We start from the raw sequence: 21046 nt of genomic DNA, 5'->3' as shown, positions 1-21046 counted from the left end.
TGTACAGGTTTGTTACCTGGGTTTATTTCATGATGCTGAGGTTTGGGGTATGAATGATCCCTTCACCCGCATAGCAAGCATAGTATCCCAACGGTTAGTTTTTCAACCCTTGCCCCTCTTCTTCTCACCCCTCTCTAGTAGTCCCCAGTGTCTACCGTTCTCATCTTTATGTCCATGTGTACCCAATGTTTAGCTCCCACTTATAAGTGAGAACATGTAGTATTTGGTTTTCTGTTCCTGTGTTAATTCACTTAAGATAATGGCCTCCAGCTGCATCCCTGTTGCTGCCAAGGACATGATTTCATTCTCTTTTATGGCTGCATAGTATTCTGTGGTGTATATGTACCACATTTTCTTTATGTAATTCACTGTTGATGGGCACCTAGGTTGATTCCATATCTTTGCACTTTGTGAATAGTGCTGTGATGAACATACAAGTGCATGTGTCTTTTTGGTGGAACCATTAATTTCCTTTGGGTGTATACCAGGTAATGGGATTGCTGGGTCAAATGGTAGTGTTTTAAGTTCTTTGAGATATCTCCAAATTGTTTCCCACAGTGGCTGAACTCATTTAGATTTCCACCAACAGTATGTAAGTGTTCCCTTTTCTCTGTAGCCTCACCAACATCTCTTATTTGTTTACTTTTTAATAATAGCCATTCTGACTTGTATGAGATGGTATCTCATTGTGGTTTTGATTTGCATTTCCCTGATGATTAATGATGAGCAATTTTTCATATGTTTCTTGGCCACTTGTATGTCTTGTAAGAAGTGTCTGTTCATGTCTCCAAACACGTTCTGCTAGTCTCATGAGCATAAGCTCAGTGCTTACACGTTGTGTTGATTTGTAAAGATGGCCCATTTCTGTTGAAGGGCTAATGCCCATTTTTAATGCCAGGCAGGTGGTCCCAGGCCAGGTAGCCCTTGAGGTCAACCACTCTACTACAGAGACCAGGGAGGACGCAGAGGCCACCATGTGAATCTAAGGACCAGTCCTCTTCTCTTTCACTACAGCCCTACCCTGGGTCTTCCTAGATGTCACATTCAAAAAGAGCAAGGGGGTTGAGGGGAACTCTCAAAGGCTGATCACTTATGTGTCATCAAAGAGGCTCCCACTCCACCAATTACTCACTGTGTGGCTTGTCATAAAACCTTGCTGTGCCTCAGCTTCCTGATCTGTCCTAAGAGGTTCATCGTTGTACCCATAAAATTGTGTTATGATTGTTCAATGAACTGACATTTTTAAATGCCTAAGAGTACCTTACACATACTTAGCTCTCTTTTAGCTCTTATATCATTATGAACAGATCACTAGTTTGGAATGGATTAGAGCCATTTTTGTATTCCTTCCTCTCTCACTCACTCTCCTTCCCCCCAGTAACCCAATGAGGTGGGAGTCTTCTAGAGAAATGCAAATCATTGAACAGGAAAATGAAAGGAGGATGTGTATTTTCCTTGTAAGTGAATGTGCAACCCGCACCATACCAGCTTTGGTTAAGAGAGGTAGGAAACAGACTGAAAACACTGAGGACTTATGAAGAACCCGAAAGAATGTACTGCATAAGATAGGCTGGTTTTTTAAGTTTTTACCAAGTGTTGACAAGATCTATGAAATGAATGCCACCCCGAGGTGGGAAGGCTGCTCGTGAAACCAGCTATGGGTTAGGAAGAATGAAGCCAGCTATGACAGCCTTTCTGACTGGGTCCTTCATCTGGAGCCTGGTCCCACATCAGTGTGACAAGCAGGCTCCTGAAGAAATAAATGACATGCTAGTCCCTGTGTCCATAGGCCACTGTCTCCACTGCCTGGTCATCGATTCTGAATCCTTTCCTGTTATCCCTTCCTACCAGATCCTCCCACTAATTCTCAATGGGTACCCTGAGCTGGGCCTGCCTTATCTTTTCTGTAAACAGCCTTTAAAGGTAATGAAAGAAAGATGTTGACTTTTATGGCTCATAAAGCTGCTTGCAGATATCCAATTTAGCACAACCTACTTCCACTAACAGTATAGTTTAACACTTCCTTCACACCGCAGGGATCTTAAATTTTCAGTGGCCAACGATGAACTGAAAATGAACCGAAAGAGGCTGCATCGTGAAGAGGCTAGCTTGTAAATTAGAGGTTTGTCCCACGTAGGAAACCTGACACCTTTTGAAAATGACAAGGATAGTCTTTTGAGTGTCACCACAGAACAACAGCAGAAATTTATGATGTTTTCGGAGGGTGTAATCAAACTGTAAGCCTGACATCAAATCCCTCTTGGTCTCTTTTTTCTCGTCTGTAAAATAAGAGGGTTGAACAGTTGATTTTCATGTCTCTTTTGGCTCTCACATATTGTGATTCTAATACTGGAGTGCCTGTGGCTAGGTGACGTGGGATTACAAAGTCTTTCACAAATTCAAAGTGGGGAGCTGGCCCCAACACTTGCGGGCTACTTTTAGACATGATGCAACTGGCCTTTACGGATGACGCTGACTCATTCCAACCCCAGACAGGCCCTGCCTCCTCTGAGGACTTTTCTGCCCACAACACCTTCAGCTACCACGATCCATGCACACCTCCCACCTCTTCATCTTCCTGGAGCAGCCTTTGTCACGCCTCCAAGCACACCTTGCGAACCACATCTGCCCATGTTTCTGGAGCAAAAAAGGAATTACCCCCGTTGCCAAGGAGGCAGCAGTGTGGAGTAAACACTGGTGGCCCCTCTTTGGACCCCCTACTCACCCCTCCAGAACACAAGAGCAGCCATTTTTCTGGCCGCAGGAGACCATGGCACTAGTGGGTGGGGCCATTTTGGTTCCGGCCTGGCCCGGAAGCTGGCTCCCAAGGCCTCCCCACAGTCTGGCGAGGACGGCAGTGCGCATGCTTCTCCTTCCACACCCCATACTTCTCCCTTGGTGCAGGGCGCAGGGTCTGTCTTTTAGAAGCAGCCTTAGGACCCCCAAGTTGTCACTTCCACAGGCGGGGGCGACTGAGACTCTGAGATGGCTCAGAACCTTTGCAGCAGCCCCAGCTCTCCAGGAGGCGAGAACCAGCCTCCATCTTTGAGACTTAGGGAGGAGCAAGTCCATTGAAACTTAGGTTTTAGGTTTGCGTTTGGGATGTGGAAGCCACATCCTCCACAGTTTCTCAGAAAAGGTGTGCTTTGGGTAATGAGGCTGTGCCTTGTTTGGCATCTTGTGTTTGTTTCACCTAAACATTGGAGTAGTTGAGGGGTGCGAGGTGGATACCCCAGACACTCTTGAGGACCTGCCAGGTACCAAGCGCTCAGCTTATCTAGACTTTCAGATTCATGTTCTTTTTCCTCATTGGAAGTGGCTCTCTAGGCCCGTTTTTCCGTGAACGAAAGAGATCCTTGCTTCTCATCTCTCAAGCTCAGGTTGCAAACTTACCTCTTTCATGAGGCCTCCAGAAATGGTTTCAAGTCAAGAGATACCACGCCTCGAATTTCATTATACTTATAAGCGCTATGTGATGTATTAATTTTAAACACATTTAAATCCCCTAGTTATTTCTTCCTGTTCACCATCTCTAAATATGTTAAAATGTAAATAGTTACGAATGAGATATTTTCCAACACCTTTCCTTCCCCTTACAAAAATACTCCTTACATCTAGTACCCTCCTACGCTGGGTTAGCTGACAGTTTCCGTTTTGTGTAATTTTATTAATTTACTCAGCAAAACCTCCGTTAAACACCTACAACGGGCAGGTGTGAGAAAGACAAAGATAACACATCCAAGCCCTTGAGGATTTCAAATTCTATTATGGGAAAAGTTCCAACGGGAAATATTGTCATAGAGGTGTGAACAGAGCTGTGAAAACAGAAGAGCAACTTTACCCAAGAGTCGGTAAGGCATTTCAGGGGATGTGTGAGCAGGGTTTTGAAGGATGAATATGAGTACACTACACAGATAAGAGGGAAAGGTATTCCAAGCAGAACCCATTGTTCGTGCAAAGGCATAGAGTCATCAGTTGACCAAGCAAGCCCCAGAAAATAATGGAAATCTCAGAAGAGCTGGAATGAGTTGCAATGGAGATGACTAGCAAGCATTAGTTTGGCAGGGCAGGTTATCAGCACAGAGGGACAACTTTTTACACTATGCTTATATGCTCAGGAGTTTAGATGTTATATGGTCAGCAACCAGTACCCAACAGAAGTTTATAAAATCACCTTTAGCTTTCAGGGTTTGTTTTTGTTTTTGTTTTTTTGAGACGGGACTTTGTGACCCAGGCTGGAGTGCAGTGGCATGATCATAGAAGATTTTTAAAAATAGAAATAAACTTGGAATACATTTCTGGCTTGGAAATTGTGTTTAGATTGTGTACAATGCCCAGGATAATGCGGGACACACAGAAGACAATAAACAAGATCCTACTGAATAGGAGTTCAAGGAAAGTCAGAAAAGAGGAATCATGGAAAGAGATGATGAGGCCACACTTATCACTTTTCCAAATTTTAGCTGCCATTGCTCATTCTATTAAAGACTAGAGGCTCTGCAATGATACAAGCAGAAGTTAATTTTCTCAAAAAGAACAACTCTGTGCTTACAGGTGCTGTCACTACCTTAGCTGTTGCTGTGAAAATTGTGCATATATTATTTGGCACTGTGTGTCCCTACTGCTCTGCAGGCTTGACCATTGTATTAGTCCATTCTCACATTGCTAAAAAGAACTACCTGAGACTGGGTAATTTATAAAGAAAAGAGGTTTAATTGACTTATAGCTCCACAGTAAGCATGGCTGGGGAGGCCTCAGGAAGCTTACCATCATGGCAGAAGGGGAAGCAGGCACATCTTACATGGCTGGTGAAGGAAGAAGAGAGAGAAGGGGGAGGCGCAACATGCTTTTAAATAACCAGATCGCATGAGAACTCACTCACTATCACAAGAACAGCAAGGGGGAAATCCACCCCCATGATTCAGTCACCTCCCACCAGACCCCTCCTTCAACACTAGAGATTAAAATTTGACATGAGATTTGGGCAGGGACACAAATCCAAACCATATCAACTGTGACACAACTTGCTTTCACCTTATAGCTGAGGAAATGGGGCATAAACCACATTCGTTCATTCACTTCATACTTAGTGAGGGCCTGTCATCACTACCCCATCTTACCTGATGAAATGATTATCCTGTGTCCAGAAATAAATGTGGAGGTGAAGTCATCAGATTAAAATATTTTGAGAAAATAGGTACAGATGGTTGAGCATTTCTGTAACACTTTCTCAAACTTCTTTCATCTTCCTCCTACTTCTCCTTCCTCCTCCTCCTTCTTCTTTAGCTAATGTAATTAAAGGAAACACTTAAGGTGAGACTTGGTTTCAGATTCCAGCTCTGTCACTTACTAGCTGTGGGACCTCAGTCGAGTCATTTTTCCTCCTCTTAGTCTCAATTGCTTTTCTGTAAAATAGACTTGTAAGGATTAAATAATGTGCAGAAAGGGCCTAGAATAGCACCTGGTGCAAAGTCAATCCTTAATACATGGTGCCTATTATTATAACAAACTCTTTTTGATACCATTGGATGAATTTCAAGAAGGACCAACCTACATGTAAAGTGTATTAGGGTGACATTTTGGAGAATTGTCTAGGAAACTCCCACCTTATATTTGGTGTCACTTGGATTCTGACAGCCAAATCTATGTTCCCAATTTCAAAATCTTCTTTTGGCCAGGTGTGGTGGCTCACACCTGTAATCCTAGCACTTTGGGAGGCCAAGGTGGGTAGATTGCTTGAGCCCAGGAATTTGAGACCAGCCTGGGCAACATGGCAAAATCCTGTCTCTATAAAATTTTTTTTTTAAATTAGCCAGGCGTGGTGGTGCATGCCTGTAGTCCCAGCTACTCGAGAGGCTGAGGTAGGAGGACCGCTTGAGCCTGGGAGGTTGAGGTGGCATTGAGCCGAGATCATGCCACTGCACTCCAGCCTGGGTGACAGAGTAAGACCCCATCCAAAAAAACCCCAAACAAACATAATCTTTCTTTTATCCTAATTCTTAGTGAGTCTGCAGTCTTATCTCTTTTCACTAGACTGTTTCTGCAAAGTGGTCTTAGCTTAGCCTATCCCTACAGCAAGCTTTTTTTGTTTTGTTTGGGCCAAATGGTCAAGCTCTGGAAATGCTTTAAAAGCATTCGTTTAATCACTAAGTCCTCTGAAATGATATATTCTGCTGTAGGTGAAATCATCCAGCTCAAACATAAGTGATTAGGCAATAACATTGAATTAATTGCTATTAATTATAAATGAGTGGAAAAAATAATCTCATATTTGTTCTGACCTCTTTTTCAACTCAAAACAGGCAGATTGTGAACACAACACTTTGTCTCACCCATCCAGAATTAACAGAGTAGTATGACCACAGAAAAGAATTCATGGAAAATGAAATTCTCAGTAAGAGTGAAGAATTCACAGGTCATACCCAAAAAAGCCTTAAACGGGGAAGATGCCCCTCTCACCCTGCCCACAGCACTCTCACCCTCCACTCCCCACAGTTAAAAGGTGAAAATCTGACCCAGCTGTTGAGAAGGCCCACACACAGGGAAGAGATGACAGATGTAAAAATGTGGAAGGATGAGAAATCCTCTACAAAGATCTTCACAAATCTAAATGCTGATTGCTAGTGTCTTACAAGCCTGTAGAGATTAAGTTACTCCCTTTTCTTAATCTCTGTCTTTGAATAGCTTCCTCTCTGTGGTGTGTCTACAGGTGCAAGTGGTGTGGACTCTAATCCCAGCTGTTAAAAACAGGCAGGGTGCCCCCATCTGCTCCCAACTCACACCAATGAGCTTTCTGCTAAGGAGGAAGATGCCTTAATGCAGCGGTTCCCAGTCTTGGATGAGTATTGGAATCACCTGGGGAGCATTAACAACGTTGTGGCTGGAACCTAGCACAATGGTTTTCAAACTTTGCTACATAGTGGAATCACTCCGGAGGTTTTTTGTTTTTTGTTTTTTTTATTTGAGGCAGAGTCTTCCACTTTTGCCCAGGCTGGAGTGCAGTGGCATGATCTCGGCTCACTGCAAGCTTCGCCTCCCAGGTTCACGCCATTCTCCTGCCTCAGCCTCCCGAGTAGTTGGGACTATAGGCACCCACCACCACGGGTAATTTTTTGTATTTTTAGTAGAGACGGGGTTTCCCATGTTGGCCAGGATGGTCTCGATCTCCTGACCTCGTGATCCGCCTGCCTCGGCCCCCAAAGTGCTGGGATTACAGGCGTGAGCCACCGCGCCAGGCCACTGTGGAGGTTTTAAAACTCCCAATTCCCAGGCTGTACCCCAGACCAATCACATTGTTTTCTGTGGCACCCAGGTATCAGTCGTTCTTAAAACTTCTCAGGTGGCTCCAACGTGCAGCCAAATTTGAGAACCGGTGTGTGAGAGAGTCTGATAGGAATGGTCTGGGGTGTGATCTGGCAGTGGGATTTTTAAAGCTTCCTAAGACAGTCTCCTAGGCAGAGCTTTGAGCCACGGGATAAAACAAGGAGCTAGTGAAGATCAACAAGGACATACTCACGTGAAGGAACACTGTAGAAAGGAGAGAACTGTCTGGATGGCCTGAGTGAGATGCACACAGTCTTGGCATTCACTGCTAGTCCCCTCCATGTTCCCCTTTATCCTTCACTGACAGACGCCAATTTTGTTCTGGTGGTAAAGCACCTGCCTCCAAACCACTACATTTCCCAGCCTGCCTTGCAACAGTGGATGCACATGTGATATCTCTCTGGCCAGTGAAAATCTTAGGGCGGAAATTCTCGGAAGACCTTTATTTAAAAAAAAAAAAAAAGCCAACTCAGCTAGAAGTGCTTTTGGCCTTTGTCTTTATTCCTGCCTGAAAACAAATGTGAGGCTGAGGATAAGACAGCCCTCGTATACCAAGAGGACGCAACCATCACACTCTGAGAATGTTGGTGCAGAAAGCTAGGAAGAATTTGAGATCCCGAAGTCATCACGGAGCCCCCATACCTGCCTATCTGCAGGCTGTATGTGAGTAATTTTCTCCATAATTTGTTTAAGCTTTTAAAAATACATTTATTTTTATATTGGAAGCTATACCATCCAAAGAAGAAAGGGAGAAGATAAAGCTAATGAGAGAAAGAAACTATCCACAGAATAAGTAACAAGGAAGTCAAGACAGAACGTGTGAATTTAAAACAGAGTGGAGCTAGGCACTGTAGCTCACGCCTGTAATCCCAACATTTTGGGAGGCCAAGGCTGGAGGATCACTTAAGGCCAGGAGATTGAGACCAGCCTGGCCAATGTGGCGAAACCCTGTCTCTATAAAAAATACAAAACTTAGCCAGGTGTAGTGGTGCATGCCTGTAATCCCAGCTACTCAGGAGGCTGAGGCACAAGTATCACTTGAACCCAGGAGGCGGAGGTTGCAGTGAGCTGAGATTGTGCCACTGCACTCCAGCCTCGGTGACAGAGGGAGACTCTGTCTCAAACAAAACAAAAACAATGTGGGAAGGGAAAGAAATATTGTGGCAGAGGATGTTTATATTTTAAGGATAACCTACTTTGATAATGTTAGTATTTCTTTTCTTTTTTTTTCCTCTCTTAGTTTGTCATGTATTAGTTTCATGACTCCTTTTGAAGTTTTCTTGAGTCTAGCTACTTCATGACTCTAGACTTATGGGCTGTGCCATTTATTTCAAACATACATATACAAATGATAATCATGCAAATCAGATGAAATCATTGTTTTTCTAGCATTTTGCAGCACAGAACATATTCTTTAACCCCAAAAATGATATTGTTCACATGGCTTTCTTTCCTATTAAACACTGTTAGCTTCTTGTGGATGTGTCTGTATCTTTCACTTCCATATCCCCACTACTTAAGAGATCTTAGCACATAATAGATATCCTTAAATGCTTGGAAGAAAAGAAGACAGAAGGATGAATATGTCAGGAGTTGGGCAGGAACCTTTCCTTAGAGGGAGGAAAATTTTAATGGGGAACTTTCTTTTTAATATTTATATGTATATATACTATATATGTATATATATGCTATATATATATAACATATATAATATATATGCTATATATATACATATATAATATATATGCTATATATATATACACATATATTATATATATATATATATTTTACTAGATACAGAGTCTCATTCTGTTGCTCAGGCTAGTTTCAAACTCCTGGGCTCAAGCAAACCTTCCACCTCAGCCTCCCAAAGTGCTGAGATTATAGGCGTCAACCACTGCAGCTGGCCAGGAAACAGTTTTTAAACAACTTTCTGTGCTGGCCAATGGGTGGTAGAGTTGGTTTAAGGCAGCTGTGTTCAGAAAGGATGTGAAATGATCATGTATGGCACGTTTTAAAAGTTGAGTCTTTGTAAATAGTGTTGTTTCATTATGCAGTTCAGTTTCTCTCTGCTGCTAGGCTTCTTCTCTGAGTTTTGACAGCCATACCTAGGGATTTTCTTAAAGAAAATACAGCCATCTTTAATTTTATCTTTGTCTAATTATTAACAGGTCTGGTCTCAATACTATGTGGATTAATGAACTATTTCAAAATTTTGATAACTCTAAAGACTATTGATTGTGTTCAGTAAGATTTCTCCTATAAAGTACCTACTATTGTGCCTGGCAAAATGAAAAAGCACATGTGGTTTTCTTTCTATGTATTTGTATTAATACATGTCTTCTAGAAGTGGTTGTGCATTGGTTCTAGTTAGTGGCAAGGACTTAGTCTTATTGAGATATGATTCTTCTAGTTCTACCATGTGATATTCTGAATTCTTTGAAAAATTCTCAAGAACAATTGTTGAAATTAAACAGCAAATTGGAAAACTTTCCAGTTTTATGATAGTTCCCTTTTTCTCCTCTTTTTCATTAGTTGTTGTTGTTTTTAAGATGGAGTTTCACTCTGTCACCAGGCTGGAGCCGCCTCCCAGGTTCAAGCGATTCTCCTACCTCAGCCTCCTGAGTAGCTGGGACTACAGGCAACTGCTACCACGCCCAGCTGATTTTTGTATTTTTAGTAGAGACAGGGTTTCACCATGTTGGCCAGGCTGGTCTCGAACTTCTGATCAGCCCACCTCAGCCTCCAAAAATGCTGGTATTACAGGCATCAGCCACCATGCCTGACCACATTAGTTCTTTCTTTTTCTTGAATCCTTTCTGACAATAGGATGACTGATGATAGTAAATCATAGCACAGGGAGCTAGGAAGTGGCTGACAGCTGGGAGTACAACAGCTCCAGTACGTCTTCATGAAGGATAGTGAGCCTTGGTCTCCAGGAAAGCCTGGGACGTGCTTTCCTCATGTGAATGGGAAGTAAACTTATGGCCTCTTTTTTTCTTAAATTTCTGTGGCTTATGACATAAGTAATTTGCTCTAGAGAAACACTGAAACTTCTTAGGAAAAAGCTAATGATGAATAGATAAAGTAAACTCATTATTTCGTAAATGCTAGAGATGGTAATTATGGGAAGACACAATGACTCAAGAAACTCAGATCCTTTTAGAAGCAGGTAGGAGAATTAATGTTAAATGAATATCATGAACTCATAGATCATTCTCTTTTCAAAAGTCCATAGTTGCACAGTAATGGCAAATGTCCACATAGGGATTGTTCTTTGATAACTATAAAATTTAAATACTGATGTTTAAGAAAACTTATTTTAAAGAGTATCATTAATTTTAAGAATTTATCAAAATAAATGGTCACCCAGAAAACTGAATCAGGCAATTCAAAGCAAATCTCCATTAGTAATTTGAAATGTATCCCCAAAGCTGTTTTAAAACTCACATATTGCATTCATTCACAGAAAATGAATGATAAGATTCGTATTTTTTAGTAAAAGTATTTGAGCAATTTTGAATGGGGCAATGATTTAACAAATTAACAAAGGAACAATAGTGGCTAGACAATAAACGCTATCATTTTATAATAAGTGTAGTTTAGTTAAGGTACTCCAAATAATCTGTTACACAACTATACAATGCCAATTTCCATGATTAGGACATACAGATAAAAATGTACAATACCTGAAAACCACTGAATATTTACAGTTGCTAGTTCCAAATACTTAGAAAAGAAGCTGACAATGTATCAGTGTCCAAAATAAGACATTTGATGTCCTCATTGATTGACATAACCTATTTATTGCCTTGTTTTTGTTTTAATATGGAATGAGAGTGAAAATTAGTTAGCTAGCTTCATCTGTCAGATATTGACTTAGCACCCTTTCCAGTGCTTTCTGACATATTTCACATCAACATATGCAAAAATGACAAAAACAGACAAAATGGCAATATCAGTACAGCATACTGGGGTACACTGAGAAGCCAGGTCAGCTACCCCAGGACTTCCCTGCACTTCCCATGGCTGAGGAAGTCAATATTTTGGTAGGCCCAGGTGGGAGCCGGAGTTTAGTCATTTTATTGGACAATGAAATTGTGGGCAACTTAAAGTATGGTTAAATCAGAGCAGGGGATGGTGGGTGTTTATTTTTTGGTTTATCTAAGGTAGCATTACATTAGCAATATCTTTCTAATACTTGGTCAAGTTGGTTGGATAACTGAAATAATACTATGGTTAAAGTTGAGAAAGAAAAAATGACTTTAAAACATGTAAATGTCTATTCATTTGGCAATCTTTTCCTTTCACACTCGAGAATTTTCTTTGAGTATGGGTGTACTGACTGGAATTGGCCAGGTTATATTTTTTGTATCAAGCATATCCATAAACAACATCTTCACTTTTGATATGGTTTGGCTGTGTTCCCACCCAAATCTCATCTTGAATTGTAGCTCCCATAATCCTCATGTATTGTGGGAGGTACTGGTGGGAGGTAATTGAATCATGGGGGTCAGTTTTTCCCTGCTATTCTCATGATAGCAAATAAGTCTCATGAGATCTGATGGTTTTATAAAGGGCAGTTCCCCTGCACACACTCTCTTGCTGCTGCCATGTAAGATGTACCTTTGCTCCTCCTTCACCTTCAACCATGATTGTGAGGCTTCCTCAGCCATGTGAGTTCATTAAACCTCTTTTCCTTTATAAATTACCCAGTCTTGGGTATGTCTTTATCAGCAGTGTGAGAATGGACTAATACAACTTCCCAGTTTCTGTTTCTCTAAGGAGGAATGAGAATTTGGTCACTTGTGAAGAAATCTGGGTGCAAGATTATTCTACACTTGCACAGCATTTTCCTCTTTGGTAGTTATCTTACCATTTTTGTTAGCAACTCACCTTTATCATGTGTCTACAAAGAATTCTATTTGGTTTTCATTGAAACCATGACCACAAGTCTATTTCTTTCTAAACTCACATTTCACTTCCGTAATATTATTTAAATAAATTGCATAGTTGTAAGTAAAATATCATTAGGGGGACAAACAACTGACCCATCAGTTGGGAGCAGAAGTGCAGGCATTGTATAGAAGTTTCCAGAGTTATTTTCGGGTCCTCGGTTGGTACATGACTTAAAGGGAAGGAGAGTGAGTCAGTGTTGTTAGCTAAGTAACTGGTGGCTTGCTAAAGGAACTTCTACAAACTTCTTTGTTTGAATATGTGGATTTGGATAGATAGTGTTTATTGCTTTTAGATTTTGTGTCCTGTTTCCTTCTTTTTTGATTTTTGCATTTTTCACTTAGTGTGCAAGTGATAGAACGATTTGTACTTTACTTTCTCAAAGTGTGCACACTCTGGAGAAAACTGTATAGGGCTGAGGGAACACCGGCTGTCTGTAGAGTGGTTCAGTGTTTTCCAATAGCTATCCTCATGATTGTGATAGTTTGTCACAGCATAAGACACTTGTAATGGAAACTGCTGTCTAGACAGGCTGAAGGAGCCACTGGGGGGCTTTTGTGAGTCTGGTGTGAACTGTGAGATATGACTGTTTTCTACCATTGTTTACTCTGATTATTGTGAATAAAACGTCTTCAGACATTTTTATATTAAATGTGTGCCACATCCCAGACCATTTCAGTAAGTTTTCCTTAGCAATAAAAGCCCCCTTCTCTTTGTGCCACTTGAGGGTGTGAGATGTGAGGAAGGTAGGACCATGTGGTGGTGGTGGGAGGGTCACATTCATATTTTTTTGTTTGTTTGTTTTGTGAGACAGAGTTTCTCTCTGTCCCCCAGGCTGGAGTGCAGTGGTGCAACCCTGGCTTAATGCAAACTTCGCCTCCCAGGTTCAAGTGATTCTCCTGCCTCAGCCTCCTGAGTAGCTGGGATTACAGGTGTGCACCACCACACCTGGCTAATTTTTGTATTTTTAGTAGAGACGAGGTGTCACTATGGTGGCCAGGCTGGTCTTGAACTCCTGATCTCAGGTGATCCACCTGCCTCAACCTCCCAAAGTGCTGAGGTTACAGGTGTGAGTCACCATGCCCGGCCAGTCTCATTCATATTGATTCAGTTTCCAGAGCTCATACACTATTGTGTGCTCTGTGAAATAGAAGACCATTCTGTGTTGTTTCCCTTTAAAAGAGAATGTATTAAAACAATAATGAGATACCAATGTACAACTATAAGAAGGGATAAGATCCAAAAAACTAATAATACCAACTGCTGGGGAGGCTGTAAAATAGTAACTCTTTCACTGTTTGTGGGAATACAAAATGGCACAGCCCCTTTAGAAGACAGTTGGCAGTTTCTTACAGAATTAAACAGACTCTTACTGTATGATCCCGCAGTCACACTTACTGTTACTTGGTACTTACCCAAATGAGTTGGAAATTTAAATTCATGCAAAATCTGTACACAAATGTTTATAGCAGTATTATACATATATACCAAAATCTAGAAGCAACTAAAATGTCCTGTAATAGCCAACTGAGTGAACAAACTGTGGTACATCCATACAATGGAATATTATTCAATGATAAAAAAATGAGCTATCAAGCTACCACAAGATGTGGATGAATCTTAAATGCACATTCCTAAGTGCAAGCAGCCAGGCCTAAAAGGCTGCAGATTACATGATTCCAACTACATGACATTCTAGAAAAGACAAAACTGGAGAGATGAGAAATAGATCCATGGATCCCAGGAATCCAGGATCCAGGAAATGGGCAAGAGAGCTGAATAGATGAAGAATAGTTTTGTTTTGTTTTGTTTTTGTTGTTGTTTTTTAGGGCAGTGAAACTATTCTGTATGATACTGTAATGGTGACTATAAGACATTGAACATCTGTTAAAACCCATAAAATCATACAACACAAAGAATAAACCTTAATGTATGCAAAGTTTAAAAATCATTTTGGAAGTTATGATGGAATGCAAAATGTGGCAAAAGAATCCAAATGTATAAAACAACTTCACTGAAGGGCATGGCAGAATAAGGTACTAACCTAACTTTGGAAATGAGCAGAGTCTGTAAGACTAAAGGCAAAAGGAACTGTACAAAAGAACTGTACTCTAATCAATAAAGTTGCTTTCCACAGGGTTACAGGTTAACAATTCTGATACTACTCTACATACATATGGAACTGAACAGTTAAGTACATGGCTAGCAGATGGTGGGAGTCAGGTTTCCCAGTGTTAGAGTGGGGATTTGCAGAGAACGCAGCTAGAAGGATACACGTGGTAATAGCTTAGAGTTGGAGACATGAATATAAACTCATGTTTAGCTTAATACAGATACAGATGATTACATATAGAAATGTTTATAGAAATGTGTATATATACAATTTAGTATACACACATACATTTCCTTGCTCTGTCAGCTGAGAGGGTCTAAAAACAATGACACCTTAACAGCAACAAGCATACTTGGCACCCAGATCTTGGTTTCTAATAGCATTGTCTAATAAAAATAACCAGGGTTCCCTGGAGAAATGGCTGATCCTAGGATGGGGGCAGGAAATATACAGGATGTGACTGGAGTATCTTGTGCCAGAAAGTAAAGGGATCAAAACCAAAACATTACCACACTGATGGTATATATTAAAGAAACACAATCACCTGAAAGATCTCCCAATGGCCAAAGCTGGAATAATTTGAGCAGCAAAATGAAGTAGTATTAGATTATAACCCAAAGTATAAAATAAGTATCCATAAGTCCATACAGATATAAATAAATGATTAAATAAATAAATGACATAGGGAGAAAAGACTAATTTCCTATGCCAAAGAATTTCAAATAATTCATATATACAAGGGGTTTCAAAAATCCATGGAAAATGAATATTATGAAAAAACTATGCATGGATTTCAAAAGTTTTTTGCACCAAAATAAACTCATATAATTTGTTATAACATGTCCGAACAGAATCTACTTTGAGGCACTAAGGATAAGATATTAGTTTGAAAAGAGCCCTGATCAGAGCATAAATTCTGCTAAAATTTAAACAAGAACAAACATCAGATTTATAGTGAAGCTTGGGTGGCAGAATGGTGAAATTACTGATGTTTTATGAAGAGTTTATGGGGACAATGCATCCCCAAAATTAGCATTTGACAAATGAATAACTCATTTTAAGAAGGAATGAGACTATGTTGAAGATGATGCCAACAGCAGAAGACCATCCATATCAATTTGTGAAGAAAAAGTTCACCTTGTTCATACCCTAATTGAAGAGGACTGACAATTAACAGCACAAACAATAGCCAACACCATAAATAATCTCAACTGGTACAGCTTACACAACTCTGACTGCAAAATTAAAGCTGAGCAAACTTGCCACTTGATTGGTGCCAAAACTGTTGCACCCAGATCAGTTTCAGGCAACAGCAGAGCTTTCAATGGAAATTTTAAATGGGTAGGGTCAAGATCCTGAAGCATTCCTTTATAGAATTCTGACAAGAGATGAAACATGGCTTTCCCAGTATGATCCTGAAGACAAAGCACAATCAAAGCAATGGCTACCAAGAGGTGGAAGTGGTCCAGTCACAGCAAAGCCAGACCACTGAAGAGCAAAGGTCATGGCAACAGTGTTTTGGATGTTCAAGGCATTTTGCTTGTTAAATTTCTGGAGGGCCAACGAAAGATAATATCGCTTATTATGAGGGTATTTTGAGAAAGTTAGCCAAAGCTTCAGCAGAAAGACGCCCAGGAAAGCTTCACCGGAGAGCCCTTCCTCACCTTGACAATGCTCCTGCTCGTGCCTCTCATTAACAAAGGCAATTCTGCGAGAGTTTCTATGGAAAATCATTAGGAAATCATTAGTCACTTTATAGTCCTGATGTGGCTCCTTCTGACTTCTTTTTGTTTCCTAATCTTTAAAACATCTTTAAAGGGCACCCATTTCTCTTCAGTTAATCATGTAAAAATGACTGCATTGAGTAAGTGAACTAAATGGCTGGTATTGCTGCTTACAAAAGTGTGTTGAACCTGATGGAGGTTATATCAAGTGTATATTTTTAATTTGTATCTTAATTCAATTTTTCCATGAACTTTTTGAAGTCCGCTTGTATATCCACTCTCAGGCAGGTGGAACAAGACTGCTTACTTCTTAAGAGTGGGCTGCACATAGTGACTTCCTCCCAAAGGGGGTCTTCATCCCAGAGTTGGTGGGCCCCTGATTGCTTAACCTGTCATAAGGATGGTCCCTGGCTGAGGTGGCCAAAGTTGGCCAAATTGTGAAGAGGGTAAAACCTGTTTTTGTCTTCTCTGCTAGGCCCCTGGGACACCTTTGGGATTCCATCAGCAGAACGGAGCTGTTTTTTTAGTCATAAAAAGCAAAGGTGATCGATAAAACTCCATCGCTAGAAGATTTGGTCCTTCTACCTTGTAATTAGGGACCACCTGCATTCAAATTGCCTGAAAAGTGTGCTAAAGATGCAGATGTCTGGGCTGCAATGTAGAACTTCCCAATCAAACCCTCTAGGGTGGGGAGGGGAGCCTGGAGAGTGAGGGGCACAAGGGCCAGGAATCTGAATTTTTAAAAAAGTATCTGTGGTGATAATTATGGTTGGGATTAAAGCTTGAGAGTGGCAGCCACAGGAACTGACTATATTACTATTGCAGAAACAAAATGTTTACTTTAAGAGAGTGTATAAACAACACCACAAGAAAGACATTAGCCAGTTACAGAACGGGAGACTTTCTGTAAGACCCCTGACCTGGTTTCTTTCATAAGCCCGTAGCATAGATAAAGAAGAAAGAGATTAAAACCAACTTAAAGGACACTCCAGAGATAAATTAATCAAATACAATGGACCTGGTTTGGATCCTGATTCAAACAAATCAAAGGCAAGACAGTATTTTTATTTTAAGACTAGTAGGGAAATGTAAATATAGAGTATGCATTGACTAATATTAAGAAGTTAATTAGGGCCAGGGACTCTCATGCCTGTAATCTTAGCACTTTGGGAGGCCGAGGTGGGTGGATCACCTGAGGTCAGGAGTTCGAGACCATTCTGGCCAACATGGTGAAACCCCATCTCTACTAAAAATACAAAAAATTAGCTGGGCATGATGGTGGGTGCCTGTAATCCCAGCTACTCGGGAGGCCAAGGCAGGAGAATCACTTGAACCTAGGAGACAGAGGTTGTGGTGAGCCAAGGTTGCACCACTGCACTCCAGCCTGGGCAACAAGAGCAAGACTCCATCTCAAAAAGAAAAAAAGAGTTAATTAGTTTTAATTTTATTAAGGTGATTATGTAAGAAGATGCTGCTCCCCATTTTAGTTGTATATTTAAGTTTTGTGGGGAGAAATTACAGAATATCTGGTATTTGCTTTGAAATTCTTCAGCAAAAATTAAAAAGGGGCGTGTGGATGAGGGATATAGATGAAACAGGTATGGCAGAAATCTGATGGCTGCTGAAGATGAGTGGTGGGTGCATGGGGCTTGTGGTAGTCTCAACTTTTGGAACGTTTGAAAATTTTTATAACTAATTTTTGAAAGGATGTAAGGAAATGGAGATGCATAGTCCAAAAGAATGAGTCATCAAAGATGAACTTCTAGGAACATGGTTTGGTGTTTCCTTAGAAAGTTAAACATAAAATTGCCACATGCCCCAGGAATTCCACTCCTAGTTATACATCCTAAAGAACTGAAAGCAGCTACTCAAACAAACACAGACAACATACATCTTCTTATCTTTCTTTTTTTTTTTTTTTTTTTTTTGAGACGGAGTCTCGCTCTGTCGCCCAGGCTGGAGTGCAGTGGCGCGATCTCGGCTCACTGCAAGCTCCGCCTCCCGGGTTCACGCCATTCTCCTGCCTCAGCCTCCCGAGTAGCTGGGACTACAGGCGCCCGCCACTACGCCTGGCTCATTTTTTGTATTTTTAGTAGAGACAGGGTTTCACCGTGTTAGCCAGGATGGTCTCGATCTCCTGACCTCGTGATCCGCCCGCCTCGGCTTCCCAAAGTGCTGGGATTACAGGCGTGAGCCACCGCGCCCGGCCGACATCTTCTTATCAACAGTATTCCCAATAGCCAAAAGGTAGAAACAGCCCAAATGTCCATCAGCAGGTAAATGGATAAACAAAAGGTGGTATGTACATACAATAGACTATTATTCAGTCATAAAAATTATAAAGTTCTGATATGTGCTACAACATGGATGAACCTTGAAAACATTACACTAAATGAAATAAGCCAGACACAAAATGACATATGTTATAAGAATCCACTTATATGGGGTATCTAGCATGAGCAAATTCATAGATACAGAAGGTTGGGTTACCAGAGGCTGGGATTGGGAGAATAAAGTTATTATTTAATGTGTACTGAATTCCTGTCTCAGGTGATAAAAAAGTTTTGGAACTAGGGCCGGGTGCGGTGGCTCACGCCTGTAATCCCAGCACTTTGGGAGGCCGAGGCAGGCGGATCATGATGAGGTCAGGAGTTCGAGACCAGCTTGACAAACATGGTGAAACCCCGTCTCTACTAAAAATACAAAAATTAGCTAGGCGTGGTGGCATGCACCTGTAATCCCAGCTACTCGGGAGGCGGAGGCAGGAGAATTGCTTGAACTTGGGAGGTGGAGGTTGCAGTGAGCCAAGATAGCACTATTGCACTCCAGTCTGGGCGACAGAGTGAAACCCTGTCTCAAAAAAAAAAAACAAACAAACAAAAAAAAAGGCTGCAGGAGAAATGGAGATTTCTCATCTTCTAAAAACTCATTTATTCCAGGAGTATTGATGTACCAGCTCTAAGGCTGGCCCTGGACTTTTACCTATAGATGATCTTTCTATTGAGTGCAGTTTTTAAAATGTAGTTGAAACACCTGTCATTCCAAGAATGGACACAGGCTTAGCTTGAAGACTTTAGAAAAACTCTTTAACAAAAGAAAAATATTAAATTGAAAAAGAAAAGGATAAAGTCACACAATGTGGTTGGGTAGCTGTAGAAAAAATACCTGCTTTGTAATTTTCCTCTGAAAAACTGGTCAGAGCAAACATAACCCAGGGCACCATGGAACAACATGAAAATTAATCAGAGGCTCCTGAGCTCACGCCTGCATCGCAGGGCTGGGCACTCAGAAGGAACGAAAGAGGTCAGGGGCTGGGCAGGACAGAGACTGGCTCTGCTCCATCAGTGCCCCTGACCATCATGAAATTCATGAGTGAGGGGTATTGCTGGATTCCTACCAACACTCATTCATAGGGGCTGCCTCTTTGTTCATGAGGAAGAAAGAAAATCAGTGTTACCCATGTGTTTACGCTTGTAAACTCAAATCAGCATCCAGGAAGTCAAGTAATAGAAAAACTCAGAGGGGTTGACTTGCTTCTCTGCTAGGTATACATCCTTCACTATTTTCAAATGTAAGAAGAAAATGAGGCTACAGGAAATGAAACAAGTAGGCTAATAAAAATGGACCAGGCCCCCAAAGATAGGCACAGGTGGGCGATTGGTAAAGGTTGATAAGGATTGAGACCTCAGCTTAGTTTGGTTCCGATCTCTCTACCAGTTCTGTTTCTTCTTTTTTGTTGTTTGTTTGTTAACTGAATACCATAGCCTTCTTCAGGCAATGCTAAGTAGAGTTTATTAACTCTTCTTATTTTGCATTGTTTTAAATGGTAATTATGTATGGCAAGAGATATAGGTTTCCCATTCATGATATAAAGTGTTCCTAAAGTTTCCAAAGTGAGTCGTTGAAAACAAACCATTGAGTAAACAATTCTGTCGACGGTCATTGGCTATGACAAAAGTTATGAGGTTTGGGGAACCTCATGATTAGACAAGACCTTTCTGTTTGTTAATAATAGCTAATATTTAATCAGTATCTGTGATGTATGGGCCGCTGGGAAGAGCACTTTTCATACCTGATCCATCACAACTCTGCAAAGTGGGTATATTTGAGCCCATTCTACCAATGAGGAAGCTGAGTTTCGATGACTTTCTATTTCATCGTAAGAGATCACACAGTGAGTGGGTGGAGAAGGGTGTGAACCCAGGTGTCATGCCCAAAGCTCTGAGCCTTCTGATACAGCACACTGCCTCGGTGCTCTTCCCGGCACAGTGGGGGCTGCACCCTCTGATCTGTGAGAAGAGGATCTCCAGAAAGAAGTTGGAGAACCTGGCCCGAAGGCATTTATCCTCTGTGTCCTTCCCCAGATTAGATCTCAGAAGTTGTTGTATACTTCCTTCTCTCCTCATATGGTTCATACAAAAGCTGGGCCTGCTTTTTGTTATGTTCATTCTCAGTCCAAATGCTTCTTCTGCCTCCTCCCAACCCTACTTCAGTGAAAATGCCCCTATATTCCACCATCTAGTGCTATAACAAATTTTGTTGGGTCACTGCTGGCTGACCTTGGAGCTAATTAAAATATATCAAAGATTCGGAGTTTTAAAGTTGTCAGGCCTCGGTTTCCATGAAGAGGAACTCTATTTTCACTCATACTCCAGCAAGAGATTAGCAGCTTGAAATCACTTTGACAGTGTCGGTTGCTCTATTGCTTACCACAGGGAATTTTAATTCCATCCTGTGAAATTGTAATTGCTTCTCAAGGAGAAGCGGGGAATCCTGGGTAATGGCCACAGTCAAGCTCAATGTCAGAGCTGCCAGTTGCTGCCACATCAGATATTACTTGCTGTTATTCAAAAATCACTCCAGCTTTCCATATGGGAAAGTTGAACTGGGGAGTTAAAGTAAATTAACAGAAACTGTCAGCTGTTCAGAA

The 21046-nt window shown here is 41.1% G+C and overlaps 5 annotated features.

Annotated features, from left to right (window-relative positions):
* Positions 2278–2397: an enhancer, noted in NCBI's record as "active region_24138". NCBI's record gives its function as "activates an Ori minimal core promoter by ATAC-STARR-seq in GM12878 lymphoblastoid cells {active_cell/tissue: GM12878}" and the evidence as "EXISTENCE:reporter gene assay evidence [ECO:0000049][PMID:35858748]".
* Positions 2408–2467: an enhancer, noted in NCBI's record as "active region_24137". NCBI's record gives its function as "activates an Ori minimal core promoter by ATAC-STARR-seq in GM12878 lymphoblastoid cells {active_cell/tissue: GM12878}" and the evidence as "EXISTENCE:reporter gene assay evidence [ECO:0000049][PMID:35858748]".
* Positions 2488–2537: an enhancer, noted in NCBI's record as "active region_24136". NCBI's record gives its function as "activates an Ori minimal core promoter by ATAC-STARR-seq in GM12878 lymphoblastoid cells {active_cell/tissue: GM12878}" and the evidence as "EXISTENCE:reporter gene assay evidence [ECO:0000049][PMID:35858748]".
* Positions 2714–3214: an enhancer, noted in NCBI's record as "H3K4me1 hESC enhancer chr6:21263602-21264102 (GRCh37/hg19 assembly coordinates)". NCBI's record gives its function as "activates a minimal SCP1, AML or CMV promoter by ChIP-STARR-seq in naive H9 embryonic stem cells {active_cell/tissue: H9 hESC(naive)}" and the evidence as "EXISTENCE:reporter gene assay evidence [ECO:0000049][PMID:30033119]".
* Positions 20293–20587: a silencer, noted in NCBI's record as "tiled region #5810; K562 Repressive DNase matched - State 21:Repr". NCBI's record gives its function as "represses a minimal TATA promoter and a strong SV40 promoter by Sharpr-MPRA in K562 cells {active_cell/tissue: K562}" and the evidence as "EXISTENCE:reporter gene assay evidence [ECO:0000049][PMID:27701403]".

This window comes from Homo sapiens, chromosome 6 (genome assembly GCF_000001405.40).
Source record: "Homo sapiens chromosome 6, GRCh38.p14 Primary Assembly".
Classification (NCBI taxonomy): domain Eukaryota; kingdom Metazoa; phylum Chordata; class Mammalia; order Primates; family Hominidae; genus Homo; species Homo sapiens.
This window is presented reverse-complemented; position numbering and strand designations above follow the sequence as displayed.